At 42.7% G+C, this 27,721-nt stretch overlaps 1 protein-coding gene, 1 long non-coding RNA gene and 1 pseudogene across 9 annotated transcripts in view, besides 4 other annotated features; 2 read left to right on the top strand and 1 right to left on the bottom strand.

Moving 5' to 3' along the window:
• The window catches only part of LYRM4-AS1 (LYRM4 antisense RNA 1), a 236,681-nt gene that overhangs the window by 171,600 nt on the left and 37,360 nt on the right, over positions 1 to 27,721 (bottom strand). For 2 of the 5 annotated variants that reach the window (NR_126016.1, NR_126019.1), the window contains one exon: positions 25,308 to 26,391. The exons of 1 other annotated variant lie outside the window; for it this stretch is intronic. This is a non-coding gene — a long non-coding RNA (LYRM4 antisense RNA 1). Of the gene's footprint in view, positions 1 to 25,307; positions 26,392 to 27,721 lie in introns of those variants that run through there. 2 more of the 5 variants (NR_126017.1, NR_126018.1) reach the window with 1 other exon arrangement.
• Positions 1 to 27,721, top strand: part of LYRM4 (LYR motif containing 4) — a 229,198-nt gene that overhangs the window by 192,054 nt on the left and 9,423 nt on the right. For 2 of the 4 annotated variants that reach the window (NR_134856.1, NM_001318783.1), the window contains one exon: positions 231 to 570. Coding sequence is in view for 3 of the 4 variants with exons in the window: in NM_001318783.1 (NP_001305712.1) it covers positions 231 to 371 (141 nt within the window). In the remaining variant the exon portion in view is untranslated. Of the gene's footprint in view, positions 1 to 230; positions 571 to 14,738; positions 14,820 to 21,371; positions 21,743 to 27,721 lie in introns of those variants that run through there. The other 2 variants (XM_017011083.3, XM_017011084.3) reach the window with 2 other exon arrangements.
• TFB2MP1 (TFB2M pseudogene 1) lies at positions 1,856 to 3,290 on the top strand (annotated as a pseudogene).
• Positions 5,055 to 5,556: an enhancer, noted in NCBI's record as "H3K4me1 hESC enhancer chr6:5063575-5064076 (GRCh37/hg19 assembly coordinates)". NCBI's record gives its function as "activates a minimal SCP1, AML or CMV promoter by ChIP-STARR-seq in naive H9 embryonic stem cells {active_cell/tissue: H9 hESC(naive)}" and the evidence as "EXISTENCE:reporter gene assay evidence [ECO:0000049][PMID:30033119]".
• Positions 11,374 to 11,433: an enhancer, noted in NCBI's record as "active region_23900". NCBI's record gives its function as "activates an Ori minimal core promoter by ATAC-STARR-seq in GM12878 lymphoblastoid cells {active_cell/tissue: GM12878}" and the evidence as "EXISTENCE:reporter gene assay evidence [ECO:0000049][PMID:35858748]".
• Positions 11,494 to 11,543: an enhancer, noted in NCBI's record as "active region_23899". NCBI's record gives its function as "activates an Ori minimal core promoter by ATAC-STARR-seq in GM12878 lymphoblastoid cells {active_cell/tissue: GM12878}" and the evidence as "EXISTENCE:reporter gene assay evidence [ECO:0000049][PMID:35858748]".
• Positions 23,076 to 24,275: an enhancer, noted in NCBI's record as "BRD4-independent group 4 enhancer chr6:5044856-5046055 (GRCh37/hg19 assembly coordinates)". NCBI's record gives its function as "activates an origin of replication core promoter dependent on BRD2, P300/CBP, MED14 and CDK7 cofactors, and independent of BRD4, by STARR-seq in HCT116 cells {active_cell/tissue: HCT116}" and the evidence as "EXISTENCE:reporter gene assay evidence [ECO:0000049][PMID:35650434]".

Below are 27,721 nucleotides of genomic sequence, written 5' to 3'. Positions count from 1 at the left end.
GGGTGGAAGAATGGTGAAATCACTGATGCTTTACACAAAGTTTATAGGCACAATGCCCAAAGAAATCAGCAGTTTACAAATGGATAACTCATTTTTTTAAATTCTTTTTTTTTTAAATACTTTAAGTTCTAGGGTACATGTGCACAACGTGCAGGTTTGTTACATATGTATGCATGCCGATAGACCGTTTTTTCCCCAGACTCCCCTCCTCTGCTTTCTCTCTGTTCCAGTGTCCCCTTTCCAACGGGATTAAGTCACGTACACAGGGTCTGCAACAGAGACAGCACGCAGTGGGCCCTGGGTGTGCTATTTGGAAGGGCTGCGGCGTGGAAGAGCCAAGCCTCAAGATCATGGGACATTTGAACCTATGACGTCAGAATACATCAACAGGTGTTTTGATGTGAGTTTTCTTCCGGACCATCACACTGTTGTACTCTTATGTTTGCGCTCACCCATGATCAATAGTCATGGCACTGTGAAGTCAGGACAGTAAACAGTGGCCCATGGCTCTGTGTGGGGTGAGGGGCCGGCGTGCTGGCAGGAGGCCTTTATGATCCCAGGCAAGTCCTGACTGTGTCTGGCTGGCTGCTGCAGGACCTTTCACCATGTTTACCTTTGCTCTGCTCCCCAGCGGACGATGGTTGATGTCGCATTTCCAAACTGACTTCTACTTTGACCTCATACAGTGTGACGGTGAATAGACAACAGAATTGTAAGGCAAACACCTGTTTGTAAACAGAGAGAAGCCCAACCACCCTGGTCAAAATGAATGAGCCCAAGCCTAAAATCAATCAGAGTGTGGGCAAGAAGGTTGCCTTTTTAAAGGAAAAATAAAACTTAGAGCCTGTTTTCCATAAGCATGTGCTTTCCATAGCACATTTAGCACTGTGATAAATGTAGGGTGTTCTTGTGAGGAGATTTTAAGTATGTGAAAGTTAATTTATTCCTGCAATCTTCTCATATCCAAGCCTTAACAAATGAGTTCTTGCAAAGTTGAAATCATCACACTATATACGTAATCTTTTTTTCACTATTATGATGGCTAAAATTCCTCAACACAGATTGTTTGCTACAAACTGGCATGGGATTTGTTTTAATACTGCTTACTTTGTGTGTATCGTAACGCTTAAAAACGATTAAGATTTGTAACTTTTCCTTTTCCCAAATGTAAAGTTTTCCACCAAAACTACAAAAAAATCCATTAGTTTCCCTGCATGGTAGTCAGTCTTTATAAAACAGTCGCCAAGCCTTGCCTCCTGGTGTTCACACCCTTCCCATAGCCCATGTAACCAACAGGAGGCTGCAGAAGTGGTAATGTACAACTTCCAAGGCTGAGTCACAAAAGACACTGAGCACTCCCCCAGCTCTCCCTTGCTTTGAGGAAGCTGGCCGCCATGTTGTGAGAACACTCAAGCAGCCCTTCAGAGCCAACCAGCATCAATTTGCCAGCCATGTGAGTTAACCTCCTTGGAAGCGGATTTAAGACTCTGATGGCTGTAGCCCTGGCTGACATACTCACTGCAACCTCATGAGAAACTGAGCCAGAACCACCCAAATAAAACATTCCCCAATTCCCTAACCCTCAAAAGCTGCACAATTGTAAATGTTAACTGTTGCTAACGACATACTAAGTTTGAGGTCATCTGTTACACAGCAATAGATAACTAATGTTTTCTGTGTACATAAATATCTATAAATGCTTAGGAAGGATCTAGAAAGATGCACATGGGGAATGTGGTGAACTTGGAAGAGGTGGAGTAGTAGCAAAGAAATTAATACTTTTGTCTGTATCACTTTAATTTTTCCGCCAAGTGCATATATGTATGTTTCAATGATATAATTAAAAATAAATTTAGGGGTTCACTGCAGTAGCAACCCCCGGTAATCCTTGGAGCGGGCCTGAGAGACAAAGACATGTGGATCCCAGTGGCCGGATTTCCTCCTCGGCTGAGGCTCTCCGCCTTGGGGGGCGCTGGTCGCTTTTGCATTTTAGGGTCTGGAGCGGCGATGCGAAAGCACTTGCCGGCGAGGAACCGCCGTGGCCTGTCTGACTCCTCTCCGCAGCTGTGGCCGGATCCGGATTTCAGGAACTCACCAAGGAGGGTGTTAAACTCCATCTTAGACTTTAAGCGTTACGTAACCAATCGGAGATTGGCTGAGACCCTGGCGCAAATCGTATGGAGAAAACAAAATAGACCTCCACACCTATTGCTGCAGTGCAGTCCAGGTCCTGGAATCCTGACTCAGGCATTACTTGAAATTGGTGCCAAAGTGGTTGCCCTTGAAAGTGACAAAACTTTTATTCCACATTTGGAGTCCTTAGGAAAAAATCTGGATGGAAAACTACAAGTGATTCACTGTGACTTCTTTAAAATAGATCCTAGAAGTGGTGGAGTAATAAAACCACCCGCTATGGCTTCTCAAGGGCTCTTTCAGAATTTGGGAATAGAAGCAGTTCCTTGGACAGCAGGCAGCCCTTTAAAAGTAACTAGAATGTTCTCAAGTAGAGGTGAAAAAAGGGCCACTTTGGAAACCTGCATATGACGTATTCCTGTACTTCTAGATATAAATTTGGACGAATAGAACTAAATATGTTTATTGGTAAAAAAGAATTCCAGAAACTAACGGCAGATCCCCGAAATCCAGACTTGTATCATGTATGAAGTGTTATCTGGCAAGTAGCTTGTGAGATTAAGGTTCTGCACATGGAGGCTTGGTCGTCATTTGATGTATACACCCAAAATGGGCGGCTGGAAAACCCAAAGTGTAGGGAATTATTGGAGCTATTACAACAAAATCTGTATCTTACTCGAATGACTCCTCATGGAAATTTATTTACCGAGAACTTAACACCTATTAACTGTAATATATTTTTTCACATGTGAAAGCACTGTTTTGGGAGGTGCAGTGCCAATCTAATAGACCACTTAAGTTCACTGACTCCACTTGGTGCAATGGATATATTGATGCAAATAGGAAAAAAGGAAGAAGAGAAAATAACTAACATGTACCCTCAAGACTTCAAAAAACTTTTTGAAACTATAGTGTTCCAAAGATTGTGCTTATAAATGGCTATATGATGAAACCCTGGTAAATATGTAGCAACTAGACTGTCGTTTTTGGTGGAGCAGTTTATTTATTTGGAAACCATGACATGAAAACCAAATTTGAAAGCTCACATCCTTTCAGCAGAAGATAACTGTTCTTGTTTTGCACATGACACGTAGATCATTTCTCCTGAAGTTGATATCATTGGCATATTGGATGAAACAGTGGCTGCTATTTTATTCACAATTGAATAAAGTGAAAACTTCAATTAATTGTGGATTTGATCAGATTGAATTCCTTTTGTTTCAGATTCCTATTTAAATATTTCACTTTCACTGTTGCTGATTTTTGCATCTTCTTGAGGAGCAAGAGTCTGTACATTATTAAGCTTAGAAAGTAAACAAAACTGATTTACTGATTTGTTTTGCATTTCAGTTTGTTGAAATGTATTGTCAAGTACTACAGAATGAAATTGTTTAAATTTTAATATGATTTAAACTTTTTTAGAAATTAAAATATTTTAAATAAAAATAAATATATAAATGTAAAGCCAAAGCTTGGAAGCAACGAAGATGTCCTTCAGTAATGAATGCATAAGTAAACTGTAGTATATCTAGACAATGGAATATTATTCAGCAGTAAAAAGAAACACACTGTCAAGCCACAAAAAGACATGGAGAACACTGAAGTGCATATGACTTAAGTGAAAGAAGCCTGGAAAGGCTATATACTGTATGATTCTAACTATGACATTCTGGATAAGGCAAAACTTGGAGTTAGGAAGAGCAGTGGTTGCCATGGTTTAGGGTAGAGAGGGATGAGTAGGCAGAGCACAGAGGTTTTAGGGCAGTGAAACTATTCTGTATGACACTGTAATGGTGGATACGTAACATTATTAAAACCCGTAGGATGTGCAACACCGAGACTAAGCCTTGATGTAAACTATGGACTTTAGTTTAAAATAACGTATCCAGCTAGAAGAGCACATTTTAATGTTCCCAACACAAAGAAACGATGAATGTTTTAGGTGATGGACATGCTTAATTCCCCTGATTTGATCACTACACTTTGTGTACATGAATTGAAATACCACACTGTACCCCATAAATATGTACAATTGTGTTTCAACTAAAAATAATAATAAGGCTAGCCACAATGGTTCGCCCTTGTAGTCCTAGCACTTTGGGAGGCTGAGGCGAGAGGATTGCCTTGAGGCCAAGAGTTCAAGACCAATCTGACCAATATAGTGAGACCCTCGTCTCTATAAAAAAAAATTTTAAGCAAAAAGTTAATTGAATTTAAAAAATATATGATACAAAAGAATGTATCAATGTCTCATCAGCTGTAACAAATACATTACATTCATATTCATTGTTAACAGAGCAAACAGTGAGCTTGGGTTGCTGAGGGGTGTATGGGAAAGCTGTACCTTCCACTCAATTTCTCTGTAAACCTAAAACTGCTCTAAAAATAAAACATATTAATTATTTTTAAAATAAAATAAAATTTAAAAGATGACTAAAGACAAATAGACAAACATAGATATCACGTCTCGTTTGCCGTTCAGGGCTTGCTGGGATAGAACTTTTCCGGGCTAGGTGGGAAGGCTGATTCATTTGTCACCCTTATTTCTGCTCCCACCTTTTTTTTTCAGCCAGCAGATGGGATAAAATTCCAAAAACCTTGACTTTGGAATAAAGAACATTCTAAAACCTGGGTCCCTTTCAAGCGTGTATTGTTAGAAACAGGCTCCCAAAAGCCAAACACAAGTTGAGAATGGGCTCCCAGGAAGTGCTAAGAGGCTCTGGGGACCCAACAGATGTGGAAGAACTCAGCCGTGAACCTCACTGCATGGCTTTAGGCCACAAGACAGGCAGCTCCCACCGGAGCCACTGCCCCTGGCCTGGCAAGTCAACCCCTTCGCCCAGAGGCCTAGTGTGCCCAGACAGTTCCTGGGACCAGCGCATGCCACTTTCTGGGGCAGGTTCCCGACATGCTGGGGTGAGCAGAGAGATGAACAGGACTGTCCAGGGTCTGGGGAACCGGGGCAGCCTGAAGAGGGGCTGGGTGGGACCAGGCTGGGCAGGGATGAAGGCTGAGTCTGCTCCCGGGAGATGGCTCCCCAACTGTGGTCCACGGTGGCACCCACATGTGATCTGTTGGGGGAGGAAGCCACACACACCAGGAGCAGTGCCTCTCACTCACTGAACAAACATCACTCCAGGCCAAGCTCAGTGCTGGGGAGACATAGGTGAACAAGCCTGGGTTCCAGGGATCGGGAGCTTCTTCCAGTGGGGTTCAGATTGTGTCAGAATAAACAACCACACAAGGGTGTAAGTAGCGTCCCATGGCGACAACTGATGTGAAAAAACCAAAGCAAGGGAAGGAGACCAGGAGGATAGGCCTGGGGGAGGGGCCAGGTAGGATGGGGGTCGGGAAAGGCTTGTGGGGCTGGAAATGGGCGGTTGGCTAACGTGCCTTCCAGGGACTCCAATCTCCCCAGAAGAGCACCAGGTCCTCCCTGAGGGCTACAGTGCATCCGAAAAGCCCAGGGTCAGCCAGGTCTCGGTGCACAGAATGCTTCATGAGGACCAAGGCTTTAGTCGGTGGATGAAGTGGCCGTCCCGTCTGTGCCAGTTTCAGTGCCTTCCTAAAAAAGAAAAATCAAAGCTTGCTGCCCAGTTTGCCCCATTCAAAAAAAATCCTATTCAGGAAGACTTTGTATTGAGGGAAAATGTCCACAGGTGACTCCTCTTGTGCCTGTTGAGAAGGAGGTGCAGAGATGGAAATGACTCATGGGAAGCTGCTTTGTGAACGAGCAGACCCAGTGGTTCGATAATGGATGCCCACACCACCCTCCACCACGGTCCACTTGACCACAGGATAGTCAGCGGCACATGAGTCCTTCCAAGGGCCCTTGCCAGTGTGACCTCCTCCTTCCCTTCCCCTCCTGGCTTGCGGCAGGCTTTGATTTGCTCCAAATCCAATGGTTGCATTCATCAGAGATCACAGATTCTAAAGTGTGCAGCCTCTCCCATGAGGTTCTAATTCCAGAAGTCACCTGACAGAGCCAGAAATGCATGGACCACTTGCACAGAGAAGTAAATTATGTCCTGAGAGTCGCCTGGATCCTGGGGAGGTGGAAAACTGTCCTCAAACAGGATGTGTTATGTGTTTTCAGTAGAAGAGCCAGCTGGCAGCTCACCTGCAGCTCTGAGCAAGGGAGGCTTCTAATCCTTCCTGCCATGCTGCCTCGGTGATACCATCCCTTTGGCCACATTTGTCTTAGGCCTTTATTAAAAGGGAAGGGTGAATTAAATAAAACAATGATGTGGAAGAAAAATGCAGATAGGTCATGAAATTCAGGGGAAATGATATTATTAAGAAATGAAAATAAGGCCAGACATGGTGGCTCTCAGCACTTTGGGAGGCTGAGGTGGGAGGATCACTTGATGCCAGGAGTTCGAGACCAGCCTGGGCAACACAGTGAACCCTGTCTCTAAACATATATATATATGTTAATATATGTTATAAATATATTAATTAATATGTATTATAAATATTATCAACATATAAATATATAATTAATATATATTAATTAGCTGGGGTGTTGGTGTGCACATGTAGTCCTAGCTACTTGGGAGACTGAAATGGTAGGATCACTTGAGCCTAGGAGTTTGAGGCTGCAGTGAGCTATTATCGCACCACTGCACACTAGCCTGGGCAACAGAGCGAGACCCTATCTCAAAAAAAAAAAAAAAAAAAAAGAAGAAGGAAGGGGAAGAAGAAATAAAGAAATGAAAATAATAGTATTTTAAGCCAGGAGAATAGAAGGAAGAAAATGGCAAAGTATCAGTATTAAACACCCCGCTATTGTGGAGGTGGTACGAAAGTACCAGAGTTAATTATAAAAAAGTTGAGCAATGCACACATATAAAAGACCTCCATTGCTAGAGAATTACAAAGGTGATAACATTCTCAATTATGGCATAAATATTCCATCTCTGGGTCTTGCGTCTTATTCATGGTGTTCATTTCTTCCAGTGCTTTGTAATTCATTGTGTGTGAACTGATTTTTGTGAGTTTTCTATGGGACTCCCGTGAGCTCTGGGTGGCTGCGGAATAGAACAGTACAAGACTTCCTGTTGCCAGAGTCTCTGGGGATTTCAATGGTCATGGATCGGTTTTGTGTTCGTTTTTCAGGTTTTAGTTCTTGCACCATGCAGGTAGTTAGATTCAGATCCCAACCCCATAGCCCCTAGCCACCTTCAGCGTTTGCTATTGAACACACATTTGATCTGCGTAAGCCTGGTAAGTGAAAAGCTTGGGAGGCAACTAATATTTCTGCATTTCTCTCATTATTTATGACATAGATAGGATTAACCTTTTTTATTTTACAATTGTTCACTATCTTGTATAAAATAAGGGCAAAATGCAATAAGATATTCAAACAATTGTGAAATCATCGTTTTGCTATTGTGAAACAAAGGTGGCAGTTCAGCCAAAACTGAACTATTGACTGACAGGCAGGCCTCTGCACGTGGTGTGACAGTTTGTGCATGAAAATAGACAACTTCTAGTAAATCAGGTTTGGGTTAAAAGAGACAAAAATCTAAAGCTGATAAATAAATTAAAATCAGAAAAATAGAAGAAATGAAGGATTAAAAATTAAACACTAAGAAGTTAAAAGTAAAATAATCCCTCACCAAAAAATACAATTAATTAACTGTCTTTTTAATTAATTAAGTGACCTGCATGGCCAGCCTCCTGTGTGAAGGACCTGAGAGGACTATAAACTGTTTCTGAGCCTCTCCTGTGTCCCCTCTTGAGGCTGCACCTGACTGGCTGTCCCCTAAATTTAAGAACACAGAACAGTATAGGATAAAGGTGGCATTCAAAATTGGTCGAGAAAATATGAATTATTTAATAAATACCACTGGTATAACTAGTTGGCTATGGGGTGGGCAGAATCTCTCTGAATTCTAATTCTCAAAATAAATTCCAGATAAATTGAAAAATATAGCTGGGCACGGTGGCTCACGCCTGTAATCCTAGCACTTTGGGAGGCTGACGCAGGTGGATCATCTGAGGTCAGGAGTTCGAGACCAGCCTGGGCAACACAGTGAAACTCCGTGTCTACTAAAAATACAAAAATTACCCAGGTGTGATGGCGCATGCCTGTAATCCCAGCTACTCAGGAGGCTGAGACATAAGAATAACTTGAACCCGAGAGGCAGACGTGTGAGCTGATTTTTGTGAGTTTTCTATGGGAGTGCTATGGAGATGGTACCACTGCATTCCAACCTGGGTGACACAGTGAGACTTTGTCTCAAAAAAAAAAAAATACAAAAATCGAAACTCAAGGGGACTATAAGAAAGTGTAGGCAACTAAAAAAAACCTTCACTGGGCAAGACCTGACTTAAGCAAGAAACAAAACCAAAAGGCCTACATGAATGTACCTGCAAAGCATAAACAGTAATGTACCTGCTTAAAAATCCAACATTTTTTCATGGCAAAAATTATAACAAACAAATCCAAAAGACAATCAACACACAGAGATCAATATTCCCACCATCTTTGAAAAAAAGGCTCACTCTTTGGAGGGCAATAAAATAATATCTATCAATGTTTTAAAAGAAATAGTTTTGACCTAAGAACTCTGCTTCTAGAACTTGATCCCACACTTTCGTGTGTACATATGTATTTCACTGAAGCACTGTTAGTAACAGGAAAAGACCAGAAACAATGTACATGCTCATTAAAGAGGGGACAAGTTCAATATATTATGGGACATCCAGATTTCATGTTGGAGGGGCCAAAGGAAAACTTCCCCTTTGCCTTCTGAATGCTGGCTGAAAATCAACTGACAAAAGATAGATTAAAGCCAGGTGTCATGTCTCATGCCTATAGTCCCAGCTACTCAAAAGACTGAGGCGGGAGGATCACTTGAGCCCAGGAGTTCAAGGCTGCAATGAGCTATGCTTACACCACTCTACTCCAGCCTGGGCAACAGAGCAAGACCCCTGTCTCTTAAAAAAAAAAAAAAGGCAGATTAACAGGAGAAGAGTCATATAAATTTATTAGCATGTGATTCTCCCACCATGCAATGGGGTACAGATGGTTAAATACCCTTCTTTTTAGGGAAAGGGAGATGAGGAAATGTGGATGATGTTAGGTGGTAGGAAAGGATTTTTAGGATGATTCAATGAACTTGAAGAGCATACAATGGCCTGGGGACAAAGTCTGATGGGGCCGCAGAGCAGGCATGTCCAGGTGTGTTGACAGACCACAGTCCTCTTCCTGCGACAAGAATTCAGTTAATGGAAACTCAGGGAAGGGAGTCGAGTAGCTGTTCTTGGGCGGATATGAAACAATCCCCAAGATACAGAGTTAAGAAAAAATCAGAGAGGCCCAGAACTGTGTGAATACCAAGTTTTTATTAGTGCAATAAAAGGGGAGGAGTGTGCTTCTTATGTACACAGAGGACTTTTTTTTTTTTTTTTTTTTGAGACAGGGCGCTGCTCTGTTGCACGGGCCGGAATGCTGTGCCACCGTCATAGCTCACTGTGGCTTTGAACTTCTGGCCTCAAGGGATCCTCCCACCTCAGCCTCCCGGGTAGCTAAGACTACATGTGTGTGCCACCACACCTGGTTAATTTTTTAATTTTCTGTACAGACTGGGTCTCTCAATATTGCCCATGCTAGTCTTGAACTCCGGGGCTCAAGGGATCCTCCGGCCTCAGCCTCCCAAAGTGCTAGGATTACAGACATGAGCCACCATGCCTGGCCATATAGAGGACTTCTAAAAGGAAACACAAGAAGCCAGTAGCAGTGTCACCTCTGGAGACAGAGATTAGGAGAGCAGAGGTCTTGCTTGCTTTTCATTGTGTATGCTTTTCATCTCTTTCCATTTTCGTCATGTGCTTTTATTACTTTTTCAATTAAAAGCAGTTAATGATAAATCAGGGAAAACAAGTTGGAAGCAAGACATTTTTACCTTAAAGGAATATAAAGAACATTAAACTAGAAAGAGAAAATGGAAAACAAAGCAGCAAGCATTCAAGCATTATATATATATAAAAATAGTGGGGAGACACAGGGCTGTAAAACCGAATCAAGCATGGCTAAAACAGGAAAAATAACAGGGGAATAAAGAAGGCAGAAGGCAAAACATAGCAAGGGGAGGCAGACACAGCCAAGAGTCCTCTGAGGAGGGGGTAGGTTGGACACTGGGTGCCCATGGGTTCCCCCCGAGGGATGCCTGAAGCTGAGTCACATGGAGCTGGCGGAGGCTCAGAGGCAGAAAAGGAGGACAGAGAGAATCCAGGCTGAAGCGGGGAACCACTGTGTGGCGGGTGCAGAAGCTCCCCCAGGTCAACTCTCTGTGGCCCTGTGGCTGTGGTTTGGAGAACGATGGCTGGTGTGGAAGTGGATGTTAAGCCCCGGACCTTAGAACACCTGTTCCCACGGACATGAGAAAGCAGGCTTGGGACAGGCCGTTGAGAAAGCAGGCAGCACTCAGGGAAGGCCAGCAGCTCTGAACAGACATCTGCTGTCACACTGTGCAAGGCTTGGTTTCATTAATGACCCCATGTGACAAAAAGAAGCAGTGGCTCCCATGGTTTCATGGAACTCAGGTCCTCTCCTCTCTCCAGTCACAGAGAGCCCCGTGTAGACTCTTCATAAGGTGGAACCCGAAGAAGGAGACACTGGGTCTCGGGAAAATGGAATGAAGGAGATGTTGTTGTATTTGGAACCTAATGTGGAGGAATGGGCCATATAAATAACTGAATAGAGGCAGGGTGTGGTGGCTCATGCCTGTAATTCCAGCACTTTGGGAGGCCGAGGCAGGAGGACTGTTTGAGTCTGGAATTTCGAGACCAGCCTGGGCAACATAAAGTGACCCCATCTCTACAAAAAATAAGAATTAGCTGGACATGTGGTGGTGCACCCAGCTACTCAGGAGGCTGAGGTGGGAGGATTGCTTGAGCCCAGGAGTTCGAGGCTGCAGTGAGCTATGATTGCACCACTGCACTCCGCCTGGGTGACAGAGAGAGACCCTGTCTCTTTAAGAAAAAAAAAAGTGAGCGTTTCACTAGGAATGAGGGAAGTTTTTTTTTTTCTTTTTTTTTTTAGATGGAGTCTCGCTCTGTCGCCCAGGCTAGAGTGCTGTGGTGCGATCTCGGGTCACTACAACCTCCGCCTCCCAGGTTCAAGCGATTCCCCTGCCTCAGCCTCCCGAGTAGCTGGGATTACAGGCGCCATCATACCTGGCTAATTTTTTGAATTTTTAGTAGAGATGGGGGTTTCACCATCTTGGCCAGGCTGGTCTCGAACTCCTGACCTCAAGTAATCTGCCTGCCTTGGCCTTCTAAAGTGCTGGGATTACAGGCGTGGGCCACCACGCCCAGCCGGAATGAGGGAAGTTTGAACTCCAAAGCTAGAGTCCCTTGGTGTCTTCCGTCCTGGTCTCTTTTGTCCCAAAGTTGAGGGAAAGGGTGGGCAGGGAGGAGAGGGAAGGAAGAAGATTGGGAAGGCCTTGAGCTCCCCCTTCAGGTCGAAGCCCGTGCAGGCTTTAGCAATGACAGCAGGCTAGGAGAGCAGACCTCAGGGTGTGGCTCGTGGGCCCCCAGGTCTCCTAGAGCCTTTGGGGAAAGGGGGGTTGGGTTGAGAGGTTGAAACTATTTTCATAACAATGCTAAGACATGATTTGCCTTTTTAACTTTGTGGACACTTGCACTGATACCGCAAAAGCAATGATGGATAAAGCCCTACCCGTATCACTTAAAAATATCCTAGATAAACCAATAAAAATAATTAATTTTATTAACTCTCAACTCTTGAGTACATGTCTTTTCAACATTCAGTGACAAAATAGGAAGTATTTTGTCACTTCTACTACCAATGTATGACGTTGCTTTGAGGAAAAGCTCTAGGATGATTGAGTTTTGAGTTGAACTGGCTGCTTTTATAGTGAAACATTATTTTTTACTTGAACAATGGATAAACTATAAATATTCAGACTTGGGCATCTGGTAGACATTTTCTTGAAAATAACCCATGTGAACCTCTGACTTCAATGAAGTGCAGTGAAAACAACTGAAATAATGCATTGCTAAGGTTAAAATCTGAACTTTGAAGGAAAAATGATAATTTTGAAATACTTGTATGTACCATGAGCTTGACAGCTACCTGGTATTTAAAGACTTTTATGATGAGATCAGCATTGAAACAAATGTGATTGTTGCTATTGGATAAGAAAAGCTGCCAACATTTGGAAGACCTGCATTTTTCAGTGAACCATATTTTCCAAATGATCAATGCAAAATGTTACAAGACTATGCATAGGTAAAAGATCCGCTTAAAGTGCAAGATAAACTGACTGTAATGTAACATAGTGTGGACAGTTTGACAATAAGGTTTCAGATTCCATATTGCAACTACCTTAAAGAAATGACATCCAGTTTAGTCTTGGTGTCATATCAAAGAAGAATGTCTACAGTCTTCTGAAAAGGCCATTAAAGACACTCTTTCCTTTTCCAACTATTTATCTATCCGAGGCTGGATTTTCTTCATATCCTTCAAGCAGAAAACATATCACAACTGGTTGAATGCAGAAGTAGATATGAGGATCCAACTGTTTTTTAAAAAGCCAATCATTAAAAAGATTTGCAAAAAAGCCAGGCAGGCACGGTGGCATGTGTCTGTAGTCCCAGCTACTCAAGAGACTAAGTGGGTGGGAGGATTGCTTGTGCTCAGGAGGCTAAGATGGCACTTGTTGAATAGCCACTGCATTTCAGCCTGGGCAACATAGCAAGACCCTGTCTCTAATAATAAAAAGAAAGAGAAAGAGAGATGAAAGAAAGAGAGAGAAAGAAAGAAAAGAAAAGAAAGAGGGAAGGAAGGAAAGAAGGAAGGAGATCCAAAGACCAAAAACTTGAATAACCACTGGCCTGAGATTCTAGTAGGTCTATCTGGCAGGGTGCACGTGGTTTTTAACTGTTTCAAGGTTATGTTGGTGAGTCCCTTTGGCCCTGTCTCTCAAGCCCCACTGAAGGGAAGCCACAAACTGACCCTCTGAGTAGATTCTGGCATGGGGACCAGAGATGTCTTAGCTAAGGATCCTTTCTCCCACTTAGAAACTATCTCTGGACCTGAGTGGTTTAGGGGTGGAGGGTAGAGTGAAGGTATATTCAGTCTGGAGATACCAGTCAAGAACGTGAAACACTTTTAACTGAGCCAAGAGGATTCCAGGGTGGGGAGTATGAAGTGGGACAGATATTAGGTAGCATTTGAGCCTAATCTTGAGGAACGTGTCCTATTTGGCCAGGCAATGTAATAATCACAGGTCTGAGATATTACTAGGCACAGTGACTTCATCAGGGTGAAACCGTGTCCATTCTTCTCTTCTTTGGCCTACTCTTACTCCCATTTCTACTTTTCTTCTGTAAACCAGAACGTATTTGAGACTTATCTCAATTAATTTAGAGGTTTATTTTGCCAAGGTTAAGGACCATGGCCAGTGACACAGCCTCAGGAGGTCCTGAGAACATGTGCCCAAGGTGGCTGGGTTACAGCTTGGTTTTATACCTTCTAGGGAGACAGAAGTTACCAGGGAAATACATAAATGAATACATGTAAGGTATACATTGGGTCAACCCAGAAAGGCAGGACTTCTCGAAGCAGGGTCTTCGAGGTCATAGGTGGATTCAAAGATTTCCTGACTGGCAATTGGTTGAAAGAGTTAAGCTGGAGCTTAAGCCAAGGTTCTTGTCATGTAGATGAAGCCTCCAAATAGCAGGTTTCAGAGAGAATAAGCAGTGAATGTCTCTTGTCTGACCCTAAAAGGTGTCAGACTCTCCAGAAAAGGCCTAATAAGGGAAGAAGATTCTCTATAGAAAGCAAATTTCCCCCACAAGAGACAGGTTTTCAGGGTCATTTCAAAATATGTCAAGGGAATATATTTTGGGATAAAATACTGCCATTTCTTTCAGGGCCTGATATCCGTCATGTGATTCCATACCAGAGTCAGGTTGGAATGTGGTATGTTATTGCTACAAAGAGTCTGTTTTTTCAGTCTTAAGGTCTCTGAGTCAATGTTAATGTTGGTCAGTCACGTCTAAACTCCAAAGGGAAGACAGTAGAAGGAGGTAAGTCTGACTCCTCCTTCCCATCATGGGCTGATGTGGTTTTTCAGGTATTTTTTGGAATCCTTCTTGGCCAAGAGAGGGATCCATTCAGTTGGTTGGGGGCGCTTAGAGTTTTATTTTTGTTTTGCACTTCTCGTAACCAAGTATGACTCCCAAGACTCCCGGGGCATGCTGTAGAATAATGCTGTTACCAGGAATTTGTCAGGAAATACTCTGCATGATTGGAAGCTGAGAGTAAAGGCTTAGGATTTGGTGTTGTTTGCACAAACCTCCCATGAAAAGACCATGCACACTGGAGCAGGACAGTTGCAATTTTGGCTTCCCTCTCTCCTGACTCTGGGATCTTGAGTAAATTACTCCAAGTCCTTAAGCCTCTGTTTCCACATCTGGAAACTGAACATACTAACACCGACCTCTCAGAGTTGTTGGGACAATTAATCAGGAACATATGTGGAAGCACAGTGCCAGGGACAAGGCATTCATTTGATAAATAGTGATGTCTTTCCTTCCTTTCCCACCCCTTTTCTTCCTCCCTGCAGAGACACTCAAACTGGGATTCTGGTCATGGCCAGGTGACTGCCATGAGGACAGAGGCATCTGGCGTTAGTTCCTGGATGAAGGTAAGAGGCTAATTAAGCTAGAAAACATTGTGTACCCTGTAAATAGCCATCTTAATCATTTTCTGCTGGTGGTGAGTCAGCAAGAGCACAGGTGTTACTCTCAGAATTTGTAGAATAACCAGACTATCTTAAGTTCAATTAAAATACATTCTGGGAGCCTCTTTACCTGTTTTGGGGCAGAATGAGTTCTAGCTTTTTTTACTGTAATAGGCAGAAGGCACCCAGTGAATGTATATATGCTTGATAGGTTACTTACCTTGGGACTTCATGAAGGCAACAAAGAGAGTCTTTGAAACTGGCTGAGATTCCTCCATACAGACCTATTACTTACAATTGTCTGTACAGTTAACTTGGAAACAATACAAAAATACTAGAAATAATTTCCTAGGGATTCTGGTTTTAATGTCCAATTTCTTTTCTTTCTTTCTTTCTTTCTTTTTTTTTTTGCAAGAGACAGGATTTCATTCTGTCACCCAGGCTGGAGTGCAATGGCAGGATTATAGCTCGCTGCAGCCTCAAACTTCTGGGGCTCAAGTGATCCTCCTGCCTCAGCCTCCCAAGTAGCTGGAACTACGAGTGCAAGCCACCTCACCAGTTTTCTTTCTCTTTCCATCTCTCCCTCTTCTGCTCCCATGTTCCTCCCTCTGCTTCTCTATCCCTGTCTTCTCTCCTTGCTCCCCAGCCCCATATTCATGGCCCTGAGGTAGGGTCAGATACTTTACCCTATACCCAGCCATTTCCATTTTCTGGATCCTGTGCTCTGTGGAACTGTTAGTGGGCTGCAGTAGAGGAAAGGGTTTATCTGTCTCACTTTCTGGCAGGAACAAGAACTTCCTGATTTAGAGTAAGAGCTGAACATAAAAACCCATTCTGGTGGAAACAGATCATCATGGCATTTCCTGTTTAAAATCATCTAAAAAAATCCCCCATCCCCACTTTCTGCAGAGCTTCCAAGGGGATGACTGCTTAACCATTTCATATCCAAAACAACAAGTACTACATAGCACCAAGGGAAGTAAAAATATCTTGCCTTTCTTTCTATTATACATAATCATAATATGTTTTTTAGTTTGCATGGCTCCATAATATAAGAGACAGTAACTGGTCTTCACTAGTAATAACCAAAAGTGAGAGAAAGAAAAAGCATTATCCTTTAGAAAGAAGAATCAGTTAATGAGAGCAAGTTCAAAAATGAGTGTACATGCTCCTCCTCAAAAGTGAAGTGAGTAGGAGTGAAGCATAGAGAGTGCAGGTAGAAAAAGGGGCTCCTTAGACAGCATAAGCTGCCTCTTCTTTAATTTTTTAAAAATTATTTTTCAAGATTGTAAATATGCATAACATAAAATTAACTATTATATAACCATTTTCAGTGTACAGTTCAGTGGCATTATGTACATTCGCATTATTATGTAACTGTCACCACCATCCATCTCTAGAATATTTTTCATCTTTAAAACTACCTTCCTGAAGTTATACACTGGGCCAGACATGATGGCTTACACCTGCCTGTAATTGTAGCACTTTGGGAGGCCAAGGCAGGACAATCACTTGAGGCCAGGAGTTTGAGAACAGCCTGGGCAACATAGTGAGATGCTATCTCTACAAAACAAAAAACAAAAAAAAGGCATACACTGTAGTTTGAATTTATACCAGCTTAACTTCAAGAGCATACAAATATTCTGCTTCTATGCAGCTCTGCTCCTACCCCCTTTCAGCTATTGATATCACAAAATGACATCTTTGTGCATTGTGTCACCTGAAATATAAACTAATAAGTTTTTAAATACATTACTCTCTTGAATCATGTAGAAAATAAAAAGTGGAAGTAACAAATCAAAGTTGCAATAATACTATTTTATAATTGTTTATATATTTACTTTTGCCAGAGATCTTTATTTTTCATATAGCTTTGAGTTACTGTTTAGTGCCCTTTCATTTCAACCTAAAGAACTCCCTTCTTGCAAGGCAGGTGCTACAGTTTGGATGTTTGACTCCTCCAAACCTCTTGTTGAAATTCAATCCCTGGTGTGGTGGTGCTGGGAAGTGAGGCCTAATGGGAAGTGTTTGGGTTATGGAGGCAGACACTTCATGAATAGATTAATACCCACACAGTCACAGGGAGGGTGAGTTCTCAGTCTATTAGCTCCCATGAGAGTTGGTTGTTAAAAAGAGCCTGGTATCTCCCTGCTACCTCTCTTGCTTCCTCTCTCACCATGTGATCTCTGCACTTCCCGGCTCCCCTTCACCTTCTGCCATGAGTGGAAGCAGCCTGATGCCTTTGTTAGATGCCCAATCTTGAACTTTTCCAGACATGAGAATCCTAAGCCAAATAAACTTCTTTTTTCATTAAAAAAAATTACCTAGCAACAGGCATTCTTTATAGCAACACACAACAGACTAAGACAGCAGGTCTAGTGGTAACAAACTCCCTCAGCTTTTGTTTATCTGGGAATGTCTTAATTTCTTCCTCATTTTTAAAGGATAGTTTTGCTGGATATAACATTCTTGGTCAACACTTTTGTTTTGTTTTGTTTGTTTTTTCCTGCCTCAGCACTCTGAATGTATCAACTCACTGCCTTCTGGCCTCTCCAAGGTTTCTGATGAGAAATCTGCTTACCTTCCCAGGGATTCGGTGTATGGGATGAGTCATTTCTTTCTTGTTGCTTTCAAGATTCTTCCTTTGTCTTGACAGTTTGAGTATAATGTGTCTTGGTGTGGGTCTTTTGAGATCATTGAGCTTCTTGAATTTATGTTCATGTTCATATTTATGTTCATGTCTTTATCATATTTTGGAAGTTTTTAACCACTATTTATTCAAATAATCTCTTTGCCCCTTTTTCTTTGTCTTCTCCTTCTGGAACCTCAACAATGTATATGTTGGTTTACTTCATGATGTGCCAGAGGTTCCTAAGGCTCTGGTCACTTTTCTGTAATCTTTTTGGCCTTCAAGTCCTCAGAGTCAAGAATTCAATTGTTCTATCTTCATGTTCACTTATTCTTTCTTTTGCCTGTTCAAATCTGTTTTTGAGTCCTCTAGTGAAAATTTCATTTGTTATTGTACTTTTTAGCTCCTTTAGTTCCTTTTTGTGTTTTCTGTCTCTTTATTGATATTTCCATTTTGTTCATACGTTTTCTTGACTTTTGTCTACATCTTCAAGCTCTTTGAGCATCTTTAAGATAATTGTTTTAAACTCTTTGTTTAGTAAGTCTACCATCTAGTCTTTCTCACAGATGGTTTCCATTGATTTTTAAAAATCTGTTATACTTTTCTGTTTGTATGCTTTGTGATTTTTTTGCTGAAAACTGGACATTGGAATCTTATAATATGTAACTCTGTAACTCTCTGCCTTGGTAGGGTGTCTGTCTGCCAAAGTTCAGCCTTAACTGTAAACTTAAGGTCTTCTCAGATCTTTTTTTGAGCCTGCACCTTTCCCTAGGCTTGTGTGATGACTTTCCAAATGCCTCTGTATATGTTGTTGTTGTTGATGTCCTAGTTCTTAAATATTTTATTCCAAAAGGGTAATAAAGGAAAAATAAAGAAGAAAAAAAAGAGCAGGCTCCAAAAACAGGTGCTGGCCCTTTAATTCCCCTGGAAGTTGCTTCAGCCAAAGAGATGAGGATTGTAAAAGTGCAAATGATGGTTGCAGCAATGCTGCTCACCTCCGTGTCTACACCTCCATAACCAGAAGCAGCAATTAGCAATCACAGCAAAGATCCCCATTATTTGGAGGATAGGGTCCTTACACCCACCTTGGCTCCTTCAAGCTTTTTGCAAGCTGCCTCAGGCACACATGCATAGCTGTTTGCCTGGCTGGTGGGTGACAGCTGCTACTGAGCTAAGAGCTAAAATTAGCCAAAATCAACCACAATTTACCACCCAAGTCTTCCCCTGGATGTTGCAAGCCTTCAGTAGACACCAAAGTTCCAAAATAGTTACATTTGAGAGATCCTGCCAGTGCAATTGTTGTCCAAATGGGGAAATGGATTCCTGATGCTTCTACGCTGCCATCTTCTTGAATGTCGAACATCAGAGTGCTTCTTAGTGCAGGATTTGGATGTCTATGGCTGAAAAGCCAATGCCTTCATATTCTAGAAGAATGACACTGCCCAGGCCGGGCATGGTGGCTTATGCCTGTAATCCCAGCACTTCAAGAGGCCGAGGCAGGCAGCTCACGAGGTCAGGAGTTCAAGACCAACCTGGCCAACATGATGAAACCCCGTCTCTACTAAAAATACAAAAATTAGCCAGGGATGGTGGTGCACGCCTATAATCCCAACTACTGGGGAGGCTGAGACAGGAGAATCGTTTGAACCCGGGAGGTGGAGGTTGCAGTGAGCCAAGATTGCACCAATGCACTCCAGTCTGGGTGACAAAGCAAGACTCTGTCTCCAAAAAAAAAAAAAATGACACTGCCCAAACCAAACCAGGAGAAGGAATTCAATTTAGTTTCTCACTCAAGGAGGCTATGTACTGTTATAATGAGCTGTTATTATGTTACAGATGAGGAAACTGAGGGTTAAAACAATGAATAACTTACCTATTAAGGGTTCCTTAACTGCCAAATGTCAGGTCCTACTAATTCTAATATCTATGACCTCAACTAGTACTGTGCTCTTTTGTCATGGCATGGTTTCCTGGGGGTGGCAGGATGCAGGGAAGACTCAAGGACAGTATGTCATGACTATTAGTTGACCTAGAGAAGAAGCTTGTGCTCCCAGTAGTTGGGTCATCTGAGGATAGGATATTAATTTGGCAGTGCCTTCAGAGTCCAATGGAGAGCCCATCCGCCCATCCTCAGCTCTCAATTTGGGTGGTGGTAGGGGGCTCTATGTTATCTCTGGAGAAGAGGATGCAGCTTCTCACTCCAGTAGCATAGCTGCTCTTGGGACCAGGGATGGAAGTGAAGGTGGTCCTGACCAATACCAGGTCTGTCTCACAGCGGTCATGCCCATGAGACCTTTACTACCTCATTCTGCTTGTCCTTCCACTGCCATCCCCTTTCCCAATCTTCCTCTGCAGTGACTCCTCCCAAATCTTTCTTACACTGTAATTAAAGCCCTCTTTGTTCCCAAGGTTTATCCCAACTTCCTCCCTAAAAGTCTACTCTATCTTCTGGCTCTCCCTGAGTGCACTGACTCCCTTGCAGCCCTCTGGAACAAGTCCTGCTAATTCTTCCACATTTATTTCCAAGTCCCACAAGCTCAGAGGAACAATTGGCTTTCTTTCCCTTCCCATTGCCCCATTCAAACCATTATTTACGTTTCTTTATGCAATTGCTCTCCTCACTTTAGGTACATACTACTTGGCTACACCTACCCTCCTGTGAGCTGCTATATGCCTCCATGAATCATTGTACACATGGGGCTCTGAAGCAAAAAGTGATGAGGTGAAGTAGGGATCTGTGATGGACAGCATAGAATGCATTAATGGAAACACAAGGGCTGGGCATGTTGACTCACACCTGTAATCCCAGCTCTTTGGTAGGATCACTTGAGTTCAAGACCAGCCTGGGCAACGTAGTTCAAGAGCAGCCTGAGCAACATAGTTCAAGACCAGCCTGGGCAACCAACCCTGTTTCTACAAAAAATAAGAAAATGATGTGGGCATGGTGTCATGCGCCAGTAGTCCCAGCTACTTGGAAGGCTGAGGTGGGAGGCTCACTTGAGCCCAGGAATTGGAGGTTTCAGTGAATATGATCACGTCACTGCAATCCAGCCTGGGCAACAGAGAGGGAGCCTCCAAACACACACACACACACACACACACACACACACACACACACACACCACAAAGTGTCAAAGCCTGTCTTTAAATGTAATGTTGCCATTCTGCTGAAGCCAAGATAGCATGAAAAGAAGATTTATCACATGGAAAAGTTCCTACAGAATCATCAAGATTTGTCACTAAAATTTTAATCTATCATCTATATTCAATACAAATCTTAGAATACGAATGCTCATAACTTTAACAGAATATGAACTATGTTAGTAGACATTGAGGCTAAGAGAGATTAAGGTTATCCATGACCGTTCAATGACCCAGAATTTAATGAACACATACACCATAGAAAACTATTGAAGGGGATTGATGCTGTCTGATTTTTAAGTCATCTTCCAACTTTAATGGTGACCTCAGGGTGGAGGAAGCAGACCTGGGAACCCTTCCTCATAACCCCCACCCAGGGCACAGAGCTACTCAGCAGGACTCCTGTCTACCCAGAACTCTTTCTACTTTGTGATATTTTATGCTATTGTAATAAGGTAACAAGCATGTATGTATTAACACTAATACCGTATTGGTGTTCACAGTCCAAATACAACTTGAATTGTTTTTAGGTTATATTTTTTGTCAAATTGTTGGTTTTTTGAATATGTCACTCCCACCAAGGCAGGGTCATATGAACTCCCAGATTTATATTAGTTACATTTTAAGGCTTATTGTATGAGAGTTTAGATCTAAGATATGGTGTTCAGCTGTATCTTGGATTAAAATAATAACTGTGGGCCAATAAAAGAATGCATCATCACTGCCATATTATTGGATTTCTACAGCTCTGAAGTCAAGTGGATCCTATACAAACCAGAAAGACAAAGGAATATGAGGAGACCTCATCAGGATGGAAATCACAATTTTAAGGCAGATACATGTTTTTGGAAGATCAACCTTATGCAATATTGAGTTCATGAAAATGAGGAGGTCTAAAAGTAGGGTGACCAACCATCCTGGTTTGACAAAGACTGATAGATATTTCCTGGGGTGCAGGACCTTCAGTGCTAAGACTGGGGAAGTTTCAGAAAATGCACTGATAGTGGAAATCTAAAGTATACTCAGAAATATGTTGATCGTCTTATCTAAAAGATGGTGACAGATTGTGGTAGCTAGTCTCCAAAGACGGTTCCCCAATAAATTATACCTTCCTGAATCTGTGACTTTGTGTAATCCTATCCCCTTGAATCTGGGTTGACCTGTAGCTTTTATTTTTTTTGAGATAGGGTCTCAGTCTGTCACCCAGACTGGAGTGCAGTGGCATGATCATGGCTTACTGAAACCTCAACTTCCCTGGGCTCAGGAGATTCTCCCACCGCAGCCTCCCAAGTAGCTGAGACCACAGAGGTGTGCCAACATGCCCAGCTAATTTTTGTATTCTTTTGTAGAGACGGGGTTTCACCATGTTGCCCGGGCTGGTCTCGAACTCCTGGGCTCAAGCGATCCACCCTTCTTGGCCTCCCAAAGTGTTGGCGTTACAGGTGTGTGCTACCATGCCCCACCGTGTGGCTTATTTTTGACCAACAGAATATGACGGAAGCCATCTTGGTGTGAAATCTCAGACTAGGTCATTAGAAACCTTACAGCTTCCACCTGGGTATCTTGGCATATTTACTCTGAGGGAAGCCAGCTGCCATCTAAGTTCAACTACTTTAAAATCACCAAGCTCAAACTAAGCATATGGGGAGCCTGTGTGCAAAGAGCGAGATGCCTGTGCAGCCGCCAGCTGTCCCAGCTGTCCCAGCTGAAGCACCAGATGTATTAGTAAAGAAGCCATGTGGGACGTCCAGCCTTCAGAAGACGGCAGCCACGCGAGAGACTCCGAGTGCAAATCACCCAGCTGAATCCAGTCAGTCCACACAATTATGATAAAAAATAGTGGAATATCTGTAATCCCAGCACTTTGGGAGGCCGAGGCGGGTGGATCACGAGGTCAGGAGATCGAGATCATCCTGGCTAACACGGTGAAACCCCGTCTCTACTAAAAATACAAAAAATTAGCCGGGTGTGGTGGCGGGCACCTGTAGTCCCAGCTACTCGGGAGGCTGAGGCAGGAGAATGGCGTGAACCCAGGAGGCAGAGCTTGCAGTGAGCTGAGATTGCACCACTGCACTGCAGCGTGGGAAACGGAGTGAGACTCCATCTCAAAAAAAAAAAAGTGGAATATTATTTTAAGCCACTAATTTTTTCCTTAAAAAAGCTGTGGTAAGCTCATGCTGAAGGCCTATTTCCTAACCTACACTGGAGACTTCTTCCTTACTCCTGTGCCTAGGGGAATGTGCCCAAGCTCTGGGCAGAGTGCCCCGTGCTCATGCAGGTAGACGTTCCCGCTTCCCACTGCAAAGCCCACTAAGCAGCACGATGTCCTGCTCTTTTAGTTATCCAGGCACCAGAAGCCCAAAGGGGCAGCAGAAAAATACTGACAATAGAGGTAAGTCCGTTCTGGGTAATTCAGTTCATAAAGCTCGCTTTGGAGGATTTCATTTCTCCATGTTAAATACAATATGTTTTTCTTTTGAGACACCTCTTTTCGGCAGGAAAATCCTGCCATCATCATTTCCCATTTGAGTTCCGTGAGCTTCTACCTAGAGGCAAAATGGAAATGGGAATTTTATAATGAAAGAAGCAGACGGGGAGAGGAATCTGCCGTCTTCTTAACAAGCCAGTAAGAGGCACTGAAAATCTCAGAGAGCTGCCAATGACAAGCATGCTCATTCTCAGCGCAGCTGCTCTTTTACAAATCGTGGTAACATAAACAATGTAAAATCACCATTAACCGTTTCCAGAACATTTTCATCTTCCCAAACTGAAACTCTGTACCTTTTAAACAATAACTGCCCTTTCCTCTCTCCCCGAGTCCCTGGCCACCCCAGTCTACTTTCTATCTCTGTGAGTTTGATTCTCTTTGGTACCCTATAAAATGGAATCATAGAGTATTTGTCCTTTTGTGCCTGGCTTACTTCACTTAGCATAGTGTCCTCAAGGTCCATCCATGTTGTAGCACGTGGCGGGACTTCCTTCCTTGTTAAGGCTGAATCATATTTCATTGTATGGATGGACTACATTTTGGTTATCCACTCATCTATGGTTGGACATTGGGTTGCTTCTGCCTATTGGCTGTTGTGAATAATGCTGCTGGGAGGATGAAATGTGCAAATATCTCTTCAAGACCCTGCTTTCAATTCAAGCCACTGAATGTTGAGGTGGTTTGTTACATAGCAATTGGCAACCGGATGTTGAGTCACGATTACAGCATGCCACCAACATGGTACAAGGATGATGATCACTGAAGGAGAGAAGTGTGTTGTCCATGTGAGTGCATGAGGTCCAGCTGGAGAGATTATTACCTGACTTAGTGTCACTAGGATCTCTGCTTTGGAGTGGAAGCTCTCACTTTCCTGCGTGCCCAGGAGAAAGCATAAGGCAGGCAGGCTGTAGAGTAGCAGCCATTTAAAAATTGCACTCATAACTGTGTAACAACAAAAGAAAAGATTATTCTGGATTTGCATTCAGATTGGGCAGACTGCTAGTGTTTCTTCCACCAGGATGGTCTGAGAGCCAAGCTTGGAAAATCAGAAGCGATTGGGTCATCCAGTGCAGGACAGTTTAGCACCATGAATGGCTAATTAAGCTTGGATTCCATCACAAACTAGAGGGGATACATTTTCTTCTGTTGAAATTAATCAGGGCCGAGGAAGGAAAAAAAGAAACCATGGCCGCCTTTTTGAAACAAATCCAACAAACACGTCAGAGGGAAGCTCCACGCTGCACATGGTGATCTGGAAGTAAAGCAGGTGAGCCCTGCCCTCCTGAAGCTGGACCCTGGCACTGGTGATGAGGATAAGAGGTTTCCCAGCTGTTTAAAAGAAAACAGTGTGTCAGCCGGGCATGGTGGCTCCCGCCTGTAATCCCAGCACTTTGGGAGGCCGAGGCGGGCAGATCACTTGAGGTCAGGAGTTCGAGACCAGCCTGGCCAACATGGTGAAACCCCATCTCTACTAAAAACACAAAAATTAACCAGGCGTGGTGGTGTGCGCCTGTAATCCCAGCTACTCGGGAGGCCGAGGCAGGAGAATCACAGGTGAACCCAGGAGGCAGAGGTTGCAGTGAGCCAAGATCGTACCACTGCACTCCAGCCTGGGAGACAAGAGTGAAACTCCGTCTCACAAACAAAAAACAAACAAACAAAAAAAACCCCACAAAAAAAAGTGTATCAATACAAAAAATTTGAGGTATACTAAGGCCAACGGAGAGGATTAGGAGATAGTTTCACACAGTTCCCAAGAGGAAGGTGTGCACCACACCACAGGGCCGCACAGGGAAGCAGGAGGCAGAGCGAGAGGGGGGCTGTGGACAAGAGCCTTTTTTTGTGATTTCCTTGGGAAGAAACAGGAAGGCAAAGTAAACAGACTCGGGATTGGCCAGTTTGCTAATTTCAGCAGGCTCTGGGGTATAGGGGCTGTCCCTAATTGTCTGGTACCTGACTTTGGGTGATTAGGGAAAGTGGATAGTGGCCCAGCATGTGAGAGACCAATAAAGGAGGTGGTTGGGGTGTGGGCTCTGGATTGGTTGGTTTGTATTTGAAAAGTGCGCCCCTGGGAGGAGGAGGACTCCCGAGGAATGGGGGGTGGCACAGAGGAGGCGACAAGGGAGGCCTGAGGCTGAAGCAAAGCATACTGTTGGGTTTTCCAGATCAAGGAATGTTTGGTGTATGCATGTAGGACAGATATTAAAACATCGACTTTATAGACGCCAGAAACATGGTCAATACATTGGCCCTGTGACACTTTAACATCAAACTAAGGCACCTTTGCAGCAATGATGGATGAGACTTAGAAAGAAGGCCATCATTTGCCCTAAATAGTACAGAAAATATTTTTTATGAGAGTTGAAAGGAGGAACAAAAATTGAAGTATAAGGAGTCCTTGTAGGCCAGCCTGTATCTAAGTTTCCCATTCACATGGCATTAGCAGACGAAATAGATTTGAAATTTCCAGGGTCTCTACCAATATCTTGGTGGATTGCAGAGTATGTTAAAAGTATGAGAAATATATATATATCTCAAAAAAATTGGACAATAATATCTTGGTGTATTTCTCAGGTCATGGTGGCAAGTCCTGCAGTTATCTTGTTGGAGGGTATTATCTGAGAAGTCAGTAAAGTACATGTAAAGACTGGTGATATTTGTGTGTAACCAAGGGGATGGGGTGGTTGTGGTCGTTACAGTTGGGGACAGGGCAGGAGGTCCTGGTGGAAAGCTGGAGCATACAGTAGAAGTCACTAGGGAGTGTATGACCCTCTCCCCAGGGTCCAGAGGATTCACTGGCCTGCAGCAGCTGCCTCTTGGGGAAAATAATACTCTTCGTCAATTTTAGAATGGCATTGAGAGTAGTAGCTTCTACCAGGTTTTCCTTTAGGTGTGGAGGGGACGGTGCATGTTTTGGCAGAGAGCAAGGAACATACCAGGATCATGGGCCAAGCAGACAGTAAATTCAGGAAACACAATAGAGTTCCTAATTCAAAAGAAGAAAAGCAACAAATGTCCATGTCCATTTTGTCAGCACCTTGAGAGTGTCACTGGGTTGGAGGCTTTAGTGTCCAGGTGATGTATCTCTAATAGCGATGTCTTGGGCTAGGGTGATGTTGTCTAAGGTGATGTCATCTCCAGCTGCGAGCTTCTGAGGAATGTCATCTGGGATGTGGGTCTGAGGTACCCTGTGCAACTGCAGAAAGTTGGATGTGATTAAGATCTTGTCTGCAAAGATAGTGTGCAATGGCAAAGCTGTTGAGGTCCCCATGGGTAGCCTAGAAAAGGTAAATTGTGACCCGTTAGAGGTGAAGGCAAACTGTGCTGAAAGGTTGTTGAAGGAGGCAATGAACAGAACACAGCAGCCAAATCTGTAATAATAAAATACCAGTCATTGACTGGGTGGTGCCGATTATTTTAATAATACTGAATATTGCATATGGGGCTTTTCTTTTTGCCAGGAACTTCCAGTTTTTATTTTTTTAAACATCATTTAACAAGAAAAACATTCAACCAAATTAAAAAAAATTAGGTTGGATTATTTTACAATAAAATAATCAACTTGAAATATCAGCCCCTCCATTTAGGGCCAAGGAGGCCAATAGTTCCTGTTTAAACAGCAGAATTGCGCAATTATTTTTACCTATATTTGATGACACACAAAAATAAAAGTCTTAAAATTTCCACGGACACCCTCCCCTCCCTCCAGAGTAGAGTTCATACAATTGCATCTTAGATCAGTACTCAGGCTTTTAAAAATCATCTTCCATTTTGAAATATAATACAACTACTCTGGTAACAAGAATACTTTTAAAACAATTCTTATAGAAAACAAATACCTTAAATCATTGTGTGGCACATAAGACTGCTCAAAGAAACAGCAAAAATGAAAAATAATGTACAAGAATTATAGTCCTTTGTTTATAGAAACCATCCAAATAAAATATTTTCCCTAATTTTCCTTGCTTCTTATAGTTTATTAGCAGAGATGAATTACAAGAAGCAGAATGCACCATATTTTGGTTCTTGGTTGTAGCTGCCAGCTTAGGAGTTCATGACTATAAATATCAAGCAAATATGATTTTACTCACAAGTTCTGGAATGGGAAAAAAACCCAGATATCTCTAAAGTGTTTCTCTATCCTTGCTTTCAAGTCATGACAAAAAAATTCACAGCAGTTTAAAGGATGGTGAAAGACGAAACATGGGCCCATTAAAATAGAGATTAATTTTACGTATTACACTCCTATAGTAAAAACTGTAATAAGTATGATATTGTATTAAGTAACATTCTATAGTAAGCTGGTGGAGCAAATACAGCATTTAACAGGTTCATTTACAGACCAGGCATAGTAGCCTTTAGAGAGAACATCTTATTTTCACAGTCTTGAACATGTAACCTTTACAAAAAACCAAACGGAATATGTAATTTATGACAGCTGGCCAGGCACTTAATTTTGGGAAACAGAAGGATTTTGAGGTAAACTAGAATTATTTTTAGCAATCACAAACATAGCCTATAAACCACATTTACACCACACTGAAGTTATTGAGCTTTTAACTATAAGTTTGTCACTCCTTTGTGCCAAAATACACACCTAGGTGTAAC

The sequence above is a fragment of the Homo sapiens genome, chromosome 6 (assembly GCF_000001405.40).
Source record: "Homo sapiens chromosome 6, GRCh38.p14 Primary Assembly".
Taxonomy (NCBI): Eukaryota; Metazoa; Chordata; class Mammalia; order Primates; family Hominidae; genus Homo; species Homo sapiens.
The sequence above is the reverse complement of the archived record's forward strand: the minus strand, read 5'-3'. Positions and strand labels throughout refer to the sequence as shown.